Source organism: Homo sapiens, chromosome X, assembly GCF_000001405.40.
Source record: "Homo sapiens chromosome X, GRCh38.p14 Primary Assembly".
Lineage (NCBI taxonomy): Eukaryota > Metazoa > Chordata > Mammalia > Primates > Hominidae > Homo > Homo sapiens.
In genome coordinates, this window is record NC_000023.11 from 47,893,721 (window position 1) to 47,912,267 (window position 18,547).

Below are 18,547 nucleotides of genomic sequence, written 5' to 3' on the forward strand. Positions count from 1 at the left end.
GGAGGCAGAAGTTGCAGTGAGCTGAGATGGTACCACTGCACTCCAGCCTGGGTGACAGAGTGAGACTCTGTCTCAAAAAAAAAAAAGAAAAAATCAAAATCTGTCCTTACTGTGCTTCAGTGGACTGTCATCCAGAGGCTCAGGAGTTGGACTCATCAATGGGTCCCCAATCAGTCAGGAGTGAAGACAAAGGCTTCGAAGGTGCATACTTCAGATTCTGAGTGAGAAGTCTGGGGTCCAGTGATCAGTCTGATCTTATCCGAGTTGTAGCACCAAAACTGTCAAAGAAAACCAGAGCTGGACAATAGTTAAAGCAGTGAAAATAGATTTTATTCAGAACTATTACAATAGGGGAAAAGATACTTCGGTATAGAACTGGGCTCAATTCCAAATACAACGTGGACAAGTGGGGATTTATAAATATAGCCCAGGAGCAGAGTGGGGCCAGTCGATGGAAAATGACTAATGCGAGGAAACATCAGGGGTAAAGGGGGATTGTTACTAAACTGACCTGACAAGATTCTTGCTGAAGGCAGGTGAGGGTGATCAAATATTACGTGGGGGATAGTACAAGATGAGGAATTTGATCAGATATCAAGGGTGATCAGATATTGAGGCTGGGAGATTCTAGCTAAACTGACTTAACAGGAATCTTGCTAAAATTAGGCAATGCCAGGATTCCCCTTGGTAATCATGATCAGTTACCCCAGCCAAAACCATAGCTCCCTTGTTTGCCAGTTGATTCAGGAGCATGAGGGACCCGAAGTGGTCGGGTGGGAGTTTTCACTTTTAGTTTAGTGGAATCATTGTGTGTCTCCTGGTGGAAGTATTTCTCCCTTTGGAATTAAGACCTCTAGAACAGCAGAGCATAAGGTCACAGAGACAGGTAGCAAAAATTTTGCTAGTGGACCATTAGGGGTAATAGGGGTGTCATTCCTGGCCCAGGGCTACCTGCCACCCAGTGGGCTCAGAGGACAGATCATGGAGACAATGAGATTATTCACAAGCCTTAAAATCTAATTGAATTTTCCCTGCTAGGTTTCAGACTTGGGTCCCATTATCTCTTTTTTCATTCCAGTTTCTCCCTTTTGGAATGGGAATATCTATCCTATACCTGTCCCACCATTGTATTTTGGAAGCAGATAACTTGTGGTCTGGTTTCATAGGTTCACAGATAGAGAGGAATTTTTCCCCAGGATGAATTATATCCTCTCTCATCCATAACTTATTTGGATGAATTAGATGATGAGATTTGAGACTTTTAGTTGACGATGTCGAGATGTGATTTTTGACTTACAAGTTGATGTTAGAATGACTAAGGCTTTGGAGGATGTTGGGATGGGGTGAATGTATTGTGCATGTGAGAAGGAAATGAATTTTGGGGGACTAGAGGGCAGACTCTTGTGGGTAGAATTTTGTCTTCCCCCAAAACTATGTGGAAATCCTACCCCTCGATACTTCAGAATGTGACCATATTTGGAAATAGAGTCTTTGCAGAGGTAATCAAGTTAAAGTGAGGTCATTAGGGTGGGCCCTACTCTAATCTGACTGATGTCCTTATAAAAAGGGGAAATTTGGACACGGGGGAATGCCATATGAAGATGAAGGCAGAAATTGGGGTATTGCTGCTACAAGCATGCGTAGAGGGAAGACAATAAGAAGATACGCAGGTAGAAGACAGACATGTCACTGGGGTGATGTATTCACAAGCCAAGGAATGCCAAAGAGTGCCAACAAACACTAGAAACTAGAAGATGCTGAAAGGTTCTCTCCTAGATCCATCAGAGAGAGCATGACCCTGCTGACACCTTGATTTTGGATTTCCAGCCTTTAGACATAAGAGACAATAAATTTCTGTTGTTGTAAGCCACCAGGTTTTGGTACTGTGTTATAGCAGCCTTAGGACACCAATACAGAGCCTCGTTGTGTTTCCCTTCACCACCACTGAGCTATCTGGGACATTAGAACCCTATGATGATGTCCTCCTTGACTTGTCTGAGATTCTTCAGTCCCTTTTCACCTCTGTGATTATTACTCAGTTCCCCATGAAATGTGGTTACTTCTCCAAAGAACAAATGGAAAGCAATTTGCTGGACCCAATTCTCTATCGTGTCCTGTTAACAGGGTTCGAAGTTCCTAAACCAGAGGTCATCTTCAAGTTGGAGCAAGGAGAGGGGCCATGGACATTGGAAGGGGAAGCCCCACATCAGAGCTGTTCAGGTGAGTGGGTGTGACCCAGGCAGATGGGGACACGAAGTAATTTTTTTTTTCCCTAAGGAAGACCGATGCCTTTAAAATGCTGTTATTGCTTAAAGGTTGGAAACTTTATAAATTGCTTGAGGATAGGTAGCATTGGCCTCTCGGGTGCCAAATTGTTCTCTCCTTTTATTTCTCTTACTGTTATCACCTGTCTTCTTTGCTTGGCTTTCTTCCAGGAGAATTGCCCCAATTCCTATACTCTGGATTACATGCCAGTCTTCCTCACTAGCGGTCTTGCTTTCTTGGATATTCTTTCCTTCCTTCAGTCCCATTTTTATGTGTAATTCCTTAAACCACACCCCAGAGTCTTAGATTCTTATCACATACATTTCAGTTTTACTGGATTTGACTTTTTGAAAATCCGTTGGTTGCCTCACTTCTGTTCTTCCTAGCACTCTTGCACTTTATTCTTTCTTTTGTTCTCACCTTCTCACTCTAAGGTACCAACAAACTCTCATCTACAACCAGCCTCACCTCCTGTTGCCTTTGTAAGTATCACCTTCAGATTCCTCACTCCTCTCCACCTTCCCATGGCCTAGTACCTCTCTCCCATCTTCTGACTTTATGGTCACTATCACTTAGCATTTCTTCTTTTAAAATCCATTTTATTAAGGTAGAATTTACACAAAATGAAATGTATTTATTTTAAGTGGACAGTTTGATGAGTTTTGATAAAGATATACACCAGTGTAACCACCACCCCTATTGTGATATATACCATTCCTTCACACAGAATGCTCCCTCATGCCCCTTGCAGTCAGTACACACAGCCCCAGGCAACCACTGACATGCTTTTTGTCACTCTAGATTAGATCTATCTTTATTAGGGTTTTATATAAATGGAATAATACCTTACATACTCTTTTGGGTCTGGCTTCATTTGTTCAGCATAATCATTTTGCAATTCATCCATGTTATTAAGTATATCTCTGGTTTATTCCTTTTGAATGACAAATAGTATTTCATGGAATGAATATATTACTATTCATTAATCTCTACACCTATTGATGGATAGGTGGTTAATATTTGGTTATTATGAATGAAGCTGCAGTGAACATTCTCGTATGTCTTTGTGTGAACATACGTTTACATTTTTCTTGGGTAAATACCTAAGATTGGAACTGCTAGGTCATGTAATAAGTGTATACTTACCTTTGTAAGAAATTGCCAAACTGTATTCCAAATTGGCTGTACCACTTTACATTCCCAGCAGCAATACATAAGGATTCCTCTTGCTCTACATCCTCGTCAACACTTGTTATCATCAAACTCTTTTATTTTTGCTATTGTAGCGGATATTATAATTTAAAGTTGCATTTCTCTTATGAGAATAATGATGTTAAGCATCTTTTTATGTGCTTATTGACCATTTGTACATTTTTTGGTGTGAAATATCTACTCAGATATCTTTCTCATTTTTTAATCAGGTTGTTTGTCTTCTTATTAGTGAGTTTTAATATATTTACTGGATACAACTCCTTTGCCAGATATATGTATTGCTAATATTTTGTTCCAATCTGTGGCTTGAAATTTCATTTTCTTTTTGGTGCCCATCAAAGAGCAAACATTTTAATTTGATGAAGTCCAATTTATCATCTGTTTTATTGTTAGTACCTTTTGCGATCTGTTTAAGAAATCTTTGCCTACCACAAGGCACAAAGATTTTCTCATACTTTCTTCTATAAGTTTTATCATTTTAACTTTTTCAGTTAGGTCTGTGATTCATTTTTCAATACTGATATCTAATTGTTCCAGAAACATTTGTTGAAGGGGCTTTCTTTTTCCTATTGAATTTCCTTGGTATGTTTATCAAAATCAATTGACTTTATGTGTATGAGCCTGTATCTGGTCTCTCATTTCTGTTCAATTAATCTATTTGTCTGTCTGCTTTAAAAGATAGGTTTTATTATTATTTAGGTTCGATGAAGCCAACAGATCAGGAGACAACTGCCATTGGAAAGACAGTTTGTTATAATTCCCAAGAGGCGGGGGTATACCACACCATACAGGGCCATGCATACCACACATGTGGAAGCACCAAGGTCAGTTGGGATCTAGAAGGAGTGAGGGGAAAGCATAGGCCAGAGCCTTTATTTAGGTTTTGTGGGAAGGAATGGACTAGGCAAGGTCAGAAGGCTAGGCAGATTTAAGATTGGCTAGTTTGGATAATTCCACTGGGCTCTAGGGTATAGGGACTCTCCCCAGTTGCTTGGTACCTGGCCCTGGGGTGATTAGAGCAGGGGGATAGTGGCTCAACCTGTGAGAGCTCAATAAAAGAGGCAGTTGTGGGTATGGGCTGTGTATTGGCTGCTTTGCATATGAAAGGCATCCTCAAGGTCAAGTTATTTCCTAATCTCTAGAATTAGCTATCACTGGGAGTGGGCAGTCTCTCCAGGATCAGTTAAGCCCCAGATGCCAGAACATCAAGGGTACAGAAAATAAGAAAATATAGTTAATACGTTATCCTTTTAGCAAACCCATACTATCTTTATTACTGTAGTTTTTACAGTAAATCTTCAATCAGGGAGTATAAGTCCTTCAACTTTGCTTTTTAAAAATTACTTTGCTCTTCTAGGTCATTTGCATTTTCATATACATTTTATAATCAGTTTGTACTTTTTACAAAAAAGCCTACTGGGATTTTGTTTGGAGTTCAGTTAACTCTGTAGATCAATTTTAGGAGAATTGACATCTTAACAATATTGAGCCTTCTAACCCATGAAAATGGCATATTTCTGCAATTATTTAGTTCTTTAATTTCATTTAGCAGAATTGTATAGTTTTCAGCATAGAGGTCATAGGAAACCTTCATTAAGTTTATCCCTAAGTACTTGATGCTTTTGATTCTGTTTTACATGGCATTGTTTTAGTTTTATTTTTTGATTTTCATTGCTAATATAAAGTTTTTTAAATTTTATTTTTAGATTGTTTATTGCTAGTATAAGTTGCTAGTGATTGATTTTTGTGCATTAACTTTGTATCCTGAGGCACTGCTAAATCTACCTATTAGTTTTCTTGTAAGTTCCTCAGGATTTTTCATATAAGTAATCATTATCACCTAAAAATAGGGACACTTTTACATCTTCCTTTCCAAACTCATGTTTTAATTTCTTTTCATTATTTTACTGTCTAAGACTTTCAGTTCAGTGTTGAATGGAAGGGGTGAGTGTGGGCATGTTTGTCTTGGTTCTGATATTGTGGGCAAAAACTTCAGTCTTTCACCATTAAGTTATGATATTAGCTGTAGGTTTTCTGTACCTGCCCTTTAACAGGCTGTGTAAGTTCCTTTCTAATCCTAGCTTGTTTCATAGTTTTTTTTTTTAAATCATGATTGAGTGTTGAATTTTGTCAAATGCTTTTTCTGCATCTATTGGAGAGATATTATATATATCAGCATTTTTTGTTCTGTTATTATGGTGAATTCATTGATTTTTAAATGTTGAATTAACCTTGTATTTCTGAGATAAATACTAGTTGATTATGACGTATTAGCTTTATTATATATTGTTGGACTCTACTTACTGATATTTGACTTAAAAGTTTGCGTTTTTCATGAGTGATTTGGTTCATGGTTTTCTTTTTTTTCAATGTCTTTGTCATGTTTTGATATTATGGTTATACTGGCTACTAAAATGAGTTATGAAGTGTTCCCTTCTCTATTTTCTGAAATACTTTGTGTGAGATTATTATTTCTTTTAATGTTTCATGGAATTAACCAAGAAAGCCATTTGGACCTAGAATTTTCTTGACAGGAAGGATTTAATGACAAACTTAATATTTTAAATAGATGTAGAGCTATTCAGATTTTTTGTTTCATCTTTTGCCAGACATAGTAAGTTGTACTTTTCAAGGAATTTTGTCTATTTCCTCTATGTTGTCCAATTTAATCCTGTTGTGGTCTGAGAGCATACTCTTTATGATTTCAGCATATGGTCTACCTAGGGGAATGTTTTGTGTGTCCCTGCAAAGAATGTATGTTCAGTTGTTGATGGGTACAGTGTTCTATAATCTATAACTCAGGTTGGTTCCATGTTGTTGAAATCTTCTAATGCCTTACTAATTTGTCTTCTACTTGTTCATTCAATTATTTGTAATTTGGGGGGGTTAAAACTGTCAAAGAGATTTAAAAATTTATATGGATATGCAAAAGACCTAGAATGACCAACACAGTCTTGAGGAAGAAGAAAAAGTACGGAGGATTGACACTACCAAATGTTAAGATTTACTTTAAAGCTATAGCAATCTGGACAGTATGTTATTGGTGTAAAGACACACTAATATATAAATGGAACAGAAGGGAAAGACTAAAAATAGACCCATTAATATATAGACAACTGATTTTTGACAAAGGTGCCAATGTAATTTGAAGGGAGAAATGAAAGTCTTTTCAAATTGTGCTGGAACAAATGGATGTCAGTATTGGGGGAAAAATTCATACTTTGACCCATACTTCACATCCTATACAAAAATTAACTCAAGTTCTAGTATTATAGAATTGTTTATATTGAAATAACCTGCCAGACAGATAAAAAATTGTTAACCCTGGAAAGCATATTTTTAAAACTAGCTACTGAAGATGCTGGAAAGTGATCAAAAGAACATTTTTCTGCTCCATCATATTTTGAGTAATTTGGATTGCGTCCTGAACATTATCAATGTTTATGGTAACATGGTATTCTGTTATATTGTTCTGAAGAATGTCAGTGTTCTTATCACAGCAGGCAATTAACTAGGTTAGATTGACACTGGAAATGCTGTCTCACCTAAGGCGAGTGGCAACTCAGGTGCACTTCAGCCCTGCTTTAATTTTGCTCTACCCATGCAAAGTTGAGGGGTCAGCCAGAGACTTAGGCAGATTTTATACACAGAATTAGGAATTTGCTTTTTTTGATTCTTTCTTTTTGAGTTGCCCCCTTAATCTCTAGTGGCCCCGGGTACCCAGGCCTTCTTCCCCTGATTCCTCTCGCAAAAGGATTACAAGCTTTTATGAGAATTTTAGCTGCTCCACATTGCTGCTAGGAGTGCAGCTACTCTCAACAGAAACCCGAGAAAAGGGGAACTCACTACGTGCTAGTCACTTCCTCTAACTTTTGACCCCCCTACAAAATCTGCCTGCTTTTGTTTTTTTATTTTTGTTTGTTTTTTTATTTTTGTTTGTTTTTCTAGAGATTACATTTACTATCTGTAGAAGGGTCTTTTTCAGAAGCTTACTTCTCCATACTGGAAGTAGAACTCTTACCATTGATTCTTGTACATTGACCTTGTATTCCGAGACTTTGCTACATTTTGCTTATTAATTCTAGTGGGTCTTTTTGTGAATAAATACCATAAAACTTTCTGCAAACATTATCATGCCTTTCTGTCATTTCCTTTTTGGTCTATATGCTGTTTATTTTTATTTTATCTTGTTCCCAATCTGAAGGCAAAAACTTTCAGTCTTTCACCATTAGGTGTATTAGCTGTGATTTTTCTTAGATGCTCTTTATTAATTTGTGGCAATTTCTTTCTATTCCTAGTTTGATGAGAGTCTTAAACATGAATTGATGTTGAATTTTCTAAATGCCAAATGCTTTTTATGTATTTATTGAAAAGTGCATTTTATCCTACTAATATGGTGAATTTTTACTGATTTTTAGATGTCAAACTAAACTTACATTCCTGAGATAAACCTTACTTCATCATGGTGTATTATCTTTTTATGTATTTCTTGATTTGATTCGCTAATATTTGGTAAGGATCTTAATCTCCATGTCTTTGAGAGAGATTGGTCTTTAGTTTTGTGGGCGGGGGGGGGTTCCCTTATAATATCTTTGATTTTGGTATCATGTTAATTCTAGCTTCATAAAATTAGTTTGGAAATTTCATGCCTGCTCTGTTTTCTGAAAGAGTTTGTGTAAACTTGCTATATTTGCTAGAATTTTTCAGTGTTCACGTCTCTTGTGATTTTGTATAAGATTACTTTAAATTTCTTTTTCTTAAATATGTGATAAAATTCACCAGTGAACTCATCTGGGTCATCTGAAGTTTTCTTTGTGGGACTGTCTTTAATTTCAAATTCAGTTTCTTTAATATAGGAATATTCAGATTTTTTATTTCTTCTTGTTTTAATAATTTGTTCCTTCAAGGAGTTCGTGTATTCCATCTAAGATGTCAATATTTCGACATAAGTTTTTTTCATTAATACTTCTGTATTGTCACTTTAATGTCTTGTATCTTCGCCAATGTACTCTCTTTCTCTGAAGTTGATAAAATTTCAATTCAACAGGAATATATATATATAAACCTAATTTTCTATGTACTTAATAACATAGCCTCAAAATATATAGTAAACACTGGCAGTATTAAAAGGAGAAGTAGACAAAATGCACAATCATAGTTGGAGATTTTAACACACCTATTTCTCTAACTGTTGTAACAAGCACACAAAAGAATCCCTAAAGAGGTAGAAGACTAGAACATGATAAACCAATATGATGTAATCGACATACATAGGTTACTACATCCAACAACTACAGAATACACATTCTTTTCAAGTATACATGGCACATTCACCAGAATAGACTATTTTGGGATATAAAGCTGTTTGCATCAAATTTCAAAGGATTGAAGTCATAGACTGTATGTTCTCTAACCACTGTTAAATTAAAACTCTGAATAGAAAAACAATTAAAAAATATCTAAATGTTTGAAAAGTAAGCAACACACATCCAAATATCCCATAAGTCAAAAAAGATATCACAATGAAAATGTATTGAGTGAAGTGATAGTGAAAATCGACACATCAGAACTTGTGGGGCCGGGCGCAGTGGCTCACACCTGTAATCAGCACTTTGGGAGGCCGAGGCGGGTGGATCACCTAAGGCCAGGAGTTTGAGACCAGCCTGGCCAACGTGGTGAACCCCATCTCTACTAAAAATATAAAAATTAACGCAAATCAATAAATTTAATCCAGCATATAAACAGAACCAAAGACAAAAACCACATGATTATCTCAATAGATGCAGAAAAGTCCTTTGACAAAATTCAACAACCCTTAAGGCTAAGAACTCTCAATAAATTACGTATTGATGGGACGTATCTCAAAATAATAAGAGCTATCTATGACAAACCCACAGCCAATATCATACTGAATGGGCAAAAACTGGAAGCATTCCCTTTGAAAACTGGCACAAGACAGGGATGCCCTCTCTCACCACTCCTATCCAACATAGTGTTGGAAGTTCTGGCCAGGGCAATTAGGCAGGAGAAGGAAATAAAGGGTATTCAATTAGGAAAAGAGGAAGTCAAATTGTCCCTGTTTGCAGATGACATGATTGTATATCTAGAAAACCCCATTGTCTCAGCCCAAAATCTCCTTAAGCTGATAAGCAACTTCAGCAAAGTCTCAAGATACAAAATCAATGTACAAAAATCACAAGCATTCTTATACACCAATAACAGACAAACAGAGAGCCAAATCATGAGTGAACTCCCATTCACAATTGCTTCAAAGAGAATAAAATACCTAGGAATCCAACTTACAAGGGATGTGAAGGACCTCTTCAAGGAGAACTACAAACCACTGCTCAATGAAATAAAAGAGGATACAAACAAATGGAAGAAGATTCCATGCTCATGGGTGGGAAGAATCAATATCGTGAAAATGGCCATACTGCCCAAGGTAATTTATAGATTCAATGCCATCCCCATCAAGCTACCAATGACTTTCTTCACAGAATTGGAAAAAACTACTTTAAAGTTCATATGGAACCAAAAAAGAGCCCGCATCGCCAAGTCAATCCTAAGCCAAAAGAACAAAGCTGGAGGCATCATGCTACCTGACTTCAAACTATACTACAAGGCTACAGTAACCAAAACAGCATGGTACTGGTACCAAAACAGAGATATAGACCAATGGAACAGAACAGAGCCCTCAGAAATAATGCCGCATATCTACAACTATCTGATCTTTGACAAACCTGAGAAAAACAAGCAATGGGGAAAGGATTCCCTATTTAATAAATGGTGCTGGGAAAACTGGCTAGCCATATGTTGAAAGCTGAAACTGGATCCCTTCCTTACACCTTATACAAAAATTAATTCAAGATGGATTAAAGACTTAAATGTTAGACCTAAAACCATAAAATCCCTAGAAGAAAACTTAGGCAATACCATTCAGGACATAGGCACGGGCAAGGACTTCATGTCTAAAACACCAAAAGCAATGGCAACAACAAAAGCCAAAATTGACAAATGGGATCTAATTAAACTAAAGAGCTTCTGCACAGCAAAAGAAACTACCATGAGTGAACAGGCAACCTACAAAATGGGAGAAAATTTTTGCAACCTACTCATCTGACAAAGGGCTAATATCCAGAATCTACAATGAACTCAAACAAATTTACAGGAAAAAAACAAACAACCCCATCAAAAAGTGGGCAAAGGATATGAACAGACACTTCTCAAAAGAAGACATTTATGCAGCCAAAAAACACATGAAAAAATGCTCATCATCACTGGCCATCAGAGAAATGCAAATCAAAACCACAATGAGATACCATCTCACACCAGTTAGAATGGCAATCATTAAAAAGTCAGGAAACAACAGGTGCTGGAGAGGATATGGAGAAATAGGAACATTTTTACACTGTTGGTGGGACTGTAAACTAGTTCAACCATTGTGGAAGTCAGTGCGGTGATTCCTCAGGGATCTAGAACTAGAAATACCATTTGACCCAGCCATCCCATTACTGGGTATATACCCAAAGGATTATAAATCATGCTGCTATGAAGACACATGCACACATATGTTTATTGCAGCACTATTCACAATAGCAAAGACTTGGAACCAACCCAAATGTCCAACAACGATAGACTGGATTAAGAAAATGTGGCACATATACACCATGGAATACTATGCAGCCATAAAAAATGATGAGTTCATGTCCTTTGTAGGAACATGGATGAAGCTGGAAACCATCATTCTCAGTAAACTATCGCAAGGACAAAAAACCAAACACCACATGTTCTCACTCATAGGTGGGAGTTGAACAATGAGAACACATGGACACAGGAAGGGGAACATCACACACCAGGGACTGTTGTGGGGTGGGGGGAGGAGGGAGGGATAGCATTAGCCGATATACCTAATGCTAAATGACGAGTTAATGGGTGTAGCACACCAACATGGCACATGTATACCTATGTAACAAACCTGCATGTTGTGCACATGTACCCTAAAACTTAAAGTATAATAATAATAAAATTTTAAAAAAATCAACTCCAAAAAAAAAAATACAAAAATTAGCTGGATGTGGTGGCGGGTGCCTGTAATCCCAGCTGCTCGAGAGGCTGAGACAGGAGAATCACTTGAACCCAGGAGGCAGAGGTTGCAGTGAGCCAAGATGGCACCACTGCACTCCAGGCTGGGCAATGGAGTGAGACTCCATCTAAAAAAAAAAAAAAAAAAAAAAAAGAACTTGTGAGATGAAACTGAAGCACTATGATGAAAGTTTCTTATTTTATATATATCTACCAGAAAATTAAAAAGATTAAAAATTGGCCTATCTTGATTTTATAATCTGATGTTTTCAAAAACTATTTTTCACCATGGCCACTGCTTCTCAAACTGGGGAACCCTAGCCATCTTCCAGGAGTGTCATTTTTTTTTTTCAGACATAGAAGTTTAAAAATTTTTTAATCTTAAAAAGTCCTGTTGTATATATTCACAGGTAAAATAAGAATAATTTTAAAGATAAAACATATGACTTCAAAGAAATTACAAGTTGACATCTTGGACTCTACCCCTCGTACTTTATCTCCTATGAGGAGAATTTCAGTAATTACAGCTGCGAAGCAATGACCTAGGAGATCCTGATTTCTCAAAGCGTAGCCAGATCTTTACTGACAGTGAATGTAAATACAATTCAAAGTCTTGGTGCATTCTCCTGAGTTCCATCTTCAGATATAATGTAATTCTCTGATTAAATATATATAGTCCTGTCTATACTGATCAGGAATTAAGTCAACAAAAGAACTCTGGACTGATTTTGATTTTTCACTGTTTATAATTAGAGGAATGCTACAGTTAAAGATTACTGCTTTACAACTAAAAATATACAACATATATCATCAAAGGGAGTGGAACTCATGAAGCCAAAAGATTAAAACTTGACCCAGTGAAAATAATAGGGAGAGTAACTGTGGGTGATTTTATCCTTCTTCCAAATTTACATTAAAATATATTATCCCTATTCTTTACTGCCCTTTTGGTTGAAGAGGTAAATACATGCATTTTTCTGAATAATTAATTATAACACCTCCTCTAGAATCCCAAATCCACTAGGGATTCTTTCTTGACCCCAAAGAGATGCTTTCAGTATGTCATGAGTATAAACTCAAGCTGCTTGCCAATTATAACTACTTGTCAAATAGAAAGTCAGTAGCCACTTTCTGTATAAATAACATTTATAAAAAACAAAATGAAGTTGCAAATGAAATTATGTCAAATTTACAGTTTCTTTTTTTAAACAAAGGGTCAATGTCATCAACATTATCTGTAAATCAAGTTATCATCAGATACATTTAATAATTAATGCCTGTAATCCCAGCACTTTGGGAGGCTGAGGCAGGTGAATCACCTGAGGTCAGGAGTTCAAGACCAGCCTGGCCAACATAGTGAAACCCCGTCTCTACTAAAAACACAAAAATTAGCCAGGCATGGTGGCTGGCGCCTGTAATTCCAGCTACTCAGAAGGCTGAGGCAGGGAGAATTGCTTGAACCCAGGAGTGGAGGTTGCAGTGAGCTGAGATCATGCCACTGCACTCCAGCCTAGGCGACAGAGCGAGACTCCACCTCAAAAAATAAAATAAAATCAAGATAACCTCTTGAATGCAATAGCTCATAGCACTTTAATTTGGCAAGCCATTTTTCCTGTTTTATTATAAATCTATATTAGATGTTTGAATATGGTTTGAAATATTTCACTACTGTGCTGAAAAAGATTGGTTGATAGCAGCTTGGAGTGCTAACTGGAAGATCAAAATCATGTCTCTTGCTGATAACCTAAGAGCATTAAGCTCTGAGTCCAGTGAGGTCATAGCAGTGTATGCTCCTTGCCCTTACGGAGTGTCTGTTTTTAGAAATTTAGATTTTAAAAGGCGTGGGACATACGACCAGGCCCTATAGCCACATAAATATAAATTTCATAGAAAAAGAATAAAAGCGGAGATATATTTTTTGACACAGAGGCACCCAAAGAAATACAAACATTGCCTAGCTGCTGCCATTTCTGTAACTGCCCAGAAGGGTGACAGATTTCTGAAGGGGAAAGGATTCAGATATGACCTTTTCTTTAGTCCCAACCACTAGTTTTAACAAATGTGAATTATTGAAATGTGAAGGGACAAAAAGAATCATACATTTAAACTGTCTTGTTCAGCATACCAATATTGTATGTTACAAATCATCATTTCTAAATCTGGATTGATTCTGTTGTGTTTTTGACTGTTTCTAAAGTAAGTGTGTATAAAAGTTGTCTCCTTTTTAAAAAGATCATATTTTTAAATAAAGCATTTTTTGTAGAAAAAAAAAATTGGCCATATAAGTTTGCACCTCAGGACATACAAAAGTGAAAACTACCAAAGCCAAAATTTGCTTCTTTGAAAGATTAACACAATTGATAAATTTAGCAAGCTCAATCAAGGAGGAGAAAGAAAACACAGATTATCAATGCCATAAATGAGAAAAGAAACATCATTACAAATCTTACAGGCCTTAAAAGGATACTAAGAAAATATTATGACCAACTTTATCCCCCAACATTTGATAACCAAAATGAAATGAACAGTCTTAGAAAAACAGAAATTACCAGAAATGTCACAAGAAAAAAAGGTCAAAATCTTAGTAGTATTTCTATCTATTAAAGAAATTGAACTTATAATTTAAAACCTATCCACAAACAAAGCTCTCAACCCACATGGCTTCATTGGTGAACTCTGGTCTTTTAGAGAAGAAATAATACCAATATTATTCATGTTCTTTTGAAGGAAATAAAGAGAGAATACTTCATATCTCATATGATAGTAAATTGAACTATATTAGAATAAAGAATTACTCTTCTTTGAAAGACATCATTAAGAAAGTTAATAGGGAAGCCACAAGCTGGGAGAAGATATTTGCAATACATATATTTGACAAATGACTTTATATTCAGAATATATAAAGAACTCTCACAAATCAATAGAGAAAAAAATAGATAAAAGACACAGGCACTTGAAAAAAGAGGTATTCAAATGGGCATTATATATATGAGAAGGTGCTAAAGATCATTACTCATCAGAGAAATGTAAATTAAAACCACAATGTGGCAGCCCTACACACATACATACATACAAAAAAAAGGGCTAAAATTTAAGACTGACAATTATCAAATGTTGATGAGTATTTAGAGCAACTGGAATTCACATTCATTGATGGTAGGAGTGTAAATTCTTTCAACCACTTTGGAAGATAGGCATTACCTACTAACACTAAATGTACACCAATTCTGTGGCCCAGTAGTGCCACTCCTAGGCATATATTTAAGAGAAACAAGCAAATATATTCACTAAAAGAAATGTACAAGAATGCTCATACCAGCTTTAGCGTAATTGCTCAAAATTTGAAACCACTCAAATGTCCATCAGTGGGAGAATAGATGAGCATTATGCTATATTCTTGCAATGTGATACTACACAACAATGAAAAGAATGAACTGCTGTTACAAGAACTTGGGCGAACCTCAAAAAATTTGTTGAACAAAAGAAGCCAGACATGCAAATGGGTATATGCTATATGATTCAATTTACATAAAGTTCAAGCAAGGACAAGCAAAACTAATCTATGATTGTGATAATATTGATAAGTGATTGGCAATCTATGGTCAGAATGGTGGTTACCGCTGAGAGTCAATTATTGACAGGAAAGGGCCACCAGAGAACTTTCTGGGATAATTAAAATGTTTTCTACTTTCATCTGAGTTGTGGTTACATGGGTGTATACATATGAGTATTGGAGTTCAGCTTTATAGCTAAGATCTATACTATATAGCTTTGCATACATTCATTGAGCTTTACAGTTAATATCTACACTTTACTATATATAAATTATACCTCAATAAAAAATAATTAGCCTGTGAGATTATTCCTCAGGTATGTTTATATAGAATTGGTATTGGTTGATCACTGGATCATATGTGCAATCCACAAGTGTGCCTATTTTACCACATTTATGCCAACACTCAGCATCGTTCAGATTTCTTATCTTGTGGCCAATATAATGGATGTAAAGTGGTATTGTGTTATCTTCCCCCCTTTCTAGTATCTGCTGTCCATTTAGGTTTCCCCTTTGTTAATTGCTTGTTCCTATTTTGTCTCATGTACTTTTCATAGAGGCTTTTTTCCCACTAAGATGCACTAGCTAGGGGTACCATTTCTGTCTTCAGGATATCTGTTCTAATAGTAATTAACTTAAAGGGGTCTTCCATTTGGAACACTTAAGGTTTTTTGTTTGTTTGTTTGTTTGTTTTTTAGGTTGTCATACATGGCTTTTATTGTTTTGACGTATGTTCCTTCTATACCTAGTTTATTGAGGCTTTTTTTTCTTTTTCTTTTTTTTTAATTATTATACTTTAAGTTTTAGGGTACATGTGCACAATATGCAGGTTAGTTACATATGTATACATGTGCCATGCTGGTGTGCTGCACCCATTAACTTGTCATTTAGCATTAGGTATATCTCCTAATGCCATCCCTCCCCCCTCCCCCAACCCCACAACAGTCCCCAGAGTGTGATGTTCCCCTTCCTGTGTCCATGTGTTCTCATTGTTCAATTCCCATCTATGAGTGAGAACATGCGGTGTTTGGTTTTTTGTCCTTGCGATAGTTTACTGAGAATGATGATTTCCAATTTCATCCATGTCCCTACAAAGGACATGAACTCATCCTTTCTTATGGCTGCATAGTATTCCATGGTGTATATGTGCCACATTTTCTTAATCCAGTCTATCGTTGTTGGACATTTGGGTTGGTTCCAAGTCTTTGCTATTGTGAATAGTGCCGCAATGAACATACATGTGCATGTGTCTTTATAGCAGCATGATTTATAGTCCTTTGGGTATACACCCAGTAATGGGATGGCTGGGTCAAATGGTATTTCTAGTTCTAGATCCCTGAGGAATCGCCACACTGACTTCCACAATGGTTGAACTAGTTTCAACAAAAGCCAAAATTGACAAATGGGATCTAATTAAACTAAAGAGCTTCTGCACAGCAAAAGAAACTACCATGAGTGAACAGGCAACCTACAAAATGGGAGAAAATTTTCGCAACCTGCTCATCTGACAAAGGGCTAATATCAAGAATCTACAATGAACTCAAACAAATTTACAAGAAAAAAACAAACAACCCCATCAAAAAGTGGGCAAAGGATATGAACAGACACTTCTCAAAAGAAGACATTTATGCAGCCAAAAGACACATGAAAAAATGCTCATCATCACTGGCCATCAGAGAAATGCAAATCAAAACCACAATGAGATAACATCTCACACCAGTTAGAATGGCAATCATTGAAAAGTCAGGAAACAACAGGTGCTGGAGAAGATGTGGAGAAATAGGAACACTTTTACACTGTTGGTGGAACACTTAAGGTTTTTATTTGTATTCTGATGACTTCCATGTTGACACCACTAGGTGCTGTATTATAATAGTGCTCTAGTACTTACTTACCTGCATACCACACAATTCCCATTGAATATTCTACTTTATTCATCCTCAATATGGGAGGAATTGGGATCATCATTACCCAAATCAGGAATCCTCACATTCCAAATTTTGTCAGATTCTGCTGTTTCTTGTTTCTTCCCTCTTAGCTGTCTTTTCTTACTACTGCAATTCCTATTTTTTCTTTTTTAAAGAATGCTACTTAGTCTCTCATCTAGTTCCAGTAACATCACTCCAAAACAGGTCTGTATTTTCTTATGCTTGGATTATTCTGTTCCTAATGGAAGCTGCAGATTCCATTCTTGTTTCTAGTTAATCTTTGAAATGCTACTGATAGATTTCATTACCTAAGACATTGCATTTATCTTTGCCATTAGCTTCATGAAGTAGTCTTACAGTTACTCCATATTATATAACACATGACCAATAACTTTTCTCTCAGTGCCATCTATAAGATTACCATTATTCCCAGTTTAAAATTTTATCTGTACGGTTTCCTTAATTTATGCTTACTTCAAATTGTTTGCCTGGTCTTTAATGCCTGTCATATATGAAGTGTGTCTGTGTATCTGGGCTTTTTATTATTTTGTGCTCTGCCGTCCAGGTAATAGACATTTTCCTTTTGTGTTCAGGCTTTCATCTATTCCATGAAATGGCCCTTACCTACTCCAGATTTATTACTCCATTATTTATTATTCTTCCCTATTTCTGTTTCCCCATGTCCCAGATGCTTTTGCCCCCAGTAATTTTTGAAAGTCTCTGAAAGTAAGAGCTCGTATCTTATTTTCATCATTCAAATGTTGAGCATGAAGAAAATACTTACCAATATTAACTAATTGAATTTGTGGGGGATAAGAATAGAATTTTGCTGTGTTTTAGAGGGATTTTAAAAAATTATACTGAGAGGAATTCAACGAAGATTGTTATTGGAAAGTAAACACAATGGCACCAAATATTTAAAAGTTTACCCTCTTACACATTGTGTTTCTGTTATAATTAGGAGTCTATTACAGGGATTAGCAAAATGAATAGCATAGAGAGTGCCTGCTTTTGACATTCAGAAGAAAAAAACTTACTAGCAATATAATTAGATTAGTTTTCTAAGTAAAAATTCTTAATCTGCTTGATGAAGCACACATACCTTTTTTAATGGCATAAAAGAAAATGCTAAGCAGGCTTAATGGGGAAAGAGGACATGAATATGTCCTTTGATTTGAAAATAAACTGGACTCTTTTGAGGCATCTTTGTGTGTGACAAGTAGAATGTAAGCTCACGTGAGCAGCTCTTTTTTCTAGAGTGATGACTCTTCATTTACGTACTCTTCATAGAATCGGGGGCTCAGGAGAGGTATAAAGAAGCTTTTTATTGCAGGAGCAAATTTTTTATGATGAACATTGGTACTAGTGACATAAAAAATAATTGTCTGGTACAGCAAGGGATTTATAATTTAAATAAAGTAAAAAGTAGAACTGCTTCTGAAGCCATGCCTAGGAATCCAGTGCTTAGTATCTCCAGAATAAATTAAAGCCAGATGTGTGAGAATAC

General features: G+C 36.2%; 1 protein-coding gene across 5 annotated transcripts in view, besides 1 other annotated feature; it reads left to right on the top strand.

Moving 5' to 3' along the window:
* ZNF81 (zinc finger protein 81) overlaps positions 1-18,547 on the top strand; it is an 88,726-nt gene that overhangs the window by 56,819 nt on the left and 13,360 nt on the right. For all 5 annotated transcript variants that reach the window (NM_001378154.1, NM_007137.5, NM_001378152.1 and 2 more), the window contains one exon: positions 2,125-2,220. In NM_001378154.1, the coding sequence (NP_001365083.1) occupies positions 2,125-2,220 (96 nt within the window). The remainder of the gene's footprint in view (positions 1-2,124; positions 2,221-18,547) is intronic.
* Positions 7,219-7,268: an enhancer, noted in NCBI's record as "active region_29599". NCBI's record gives its function as "activates an Ori minimal core promoter by ATAC-STARR-seq in GM12878 lymphoblastoid cells {active_cell/tissue: GM12878}" and the evidence as "EXISTENCE:reporter gene assay evidence [ECO:0000049][PMID:35858748]".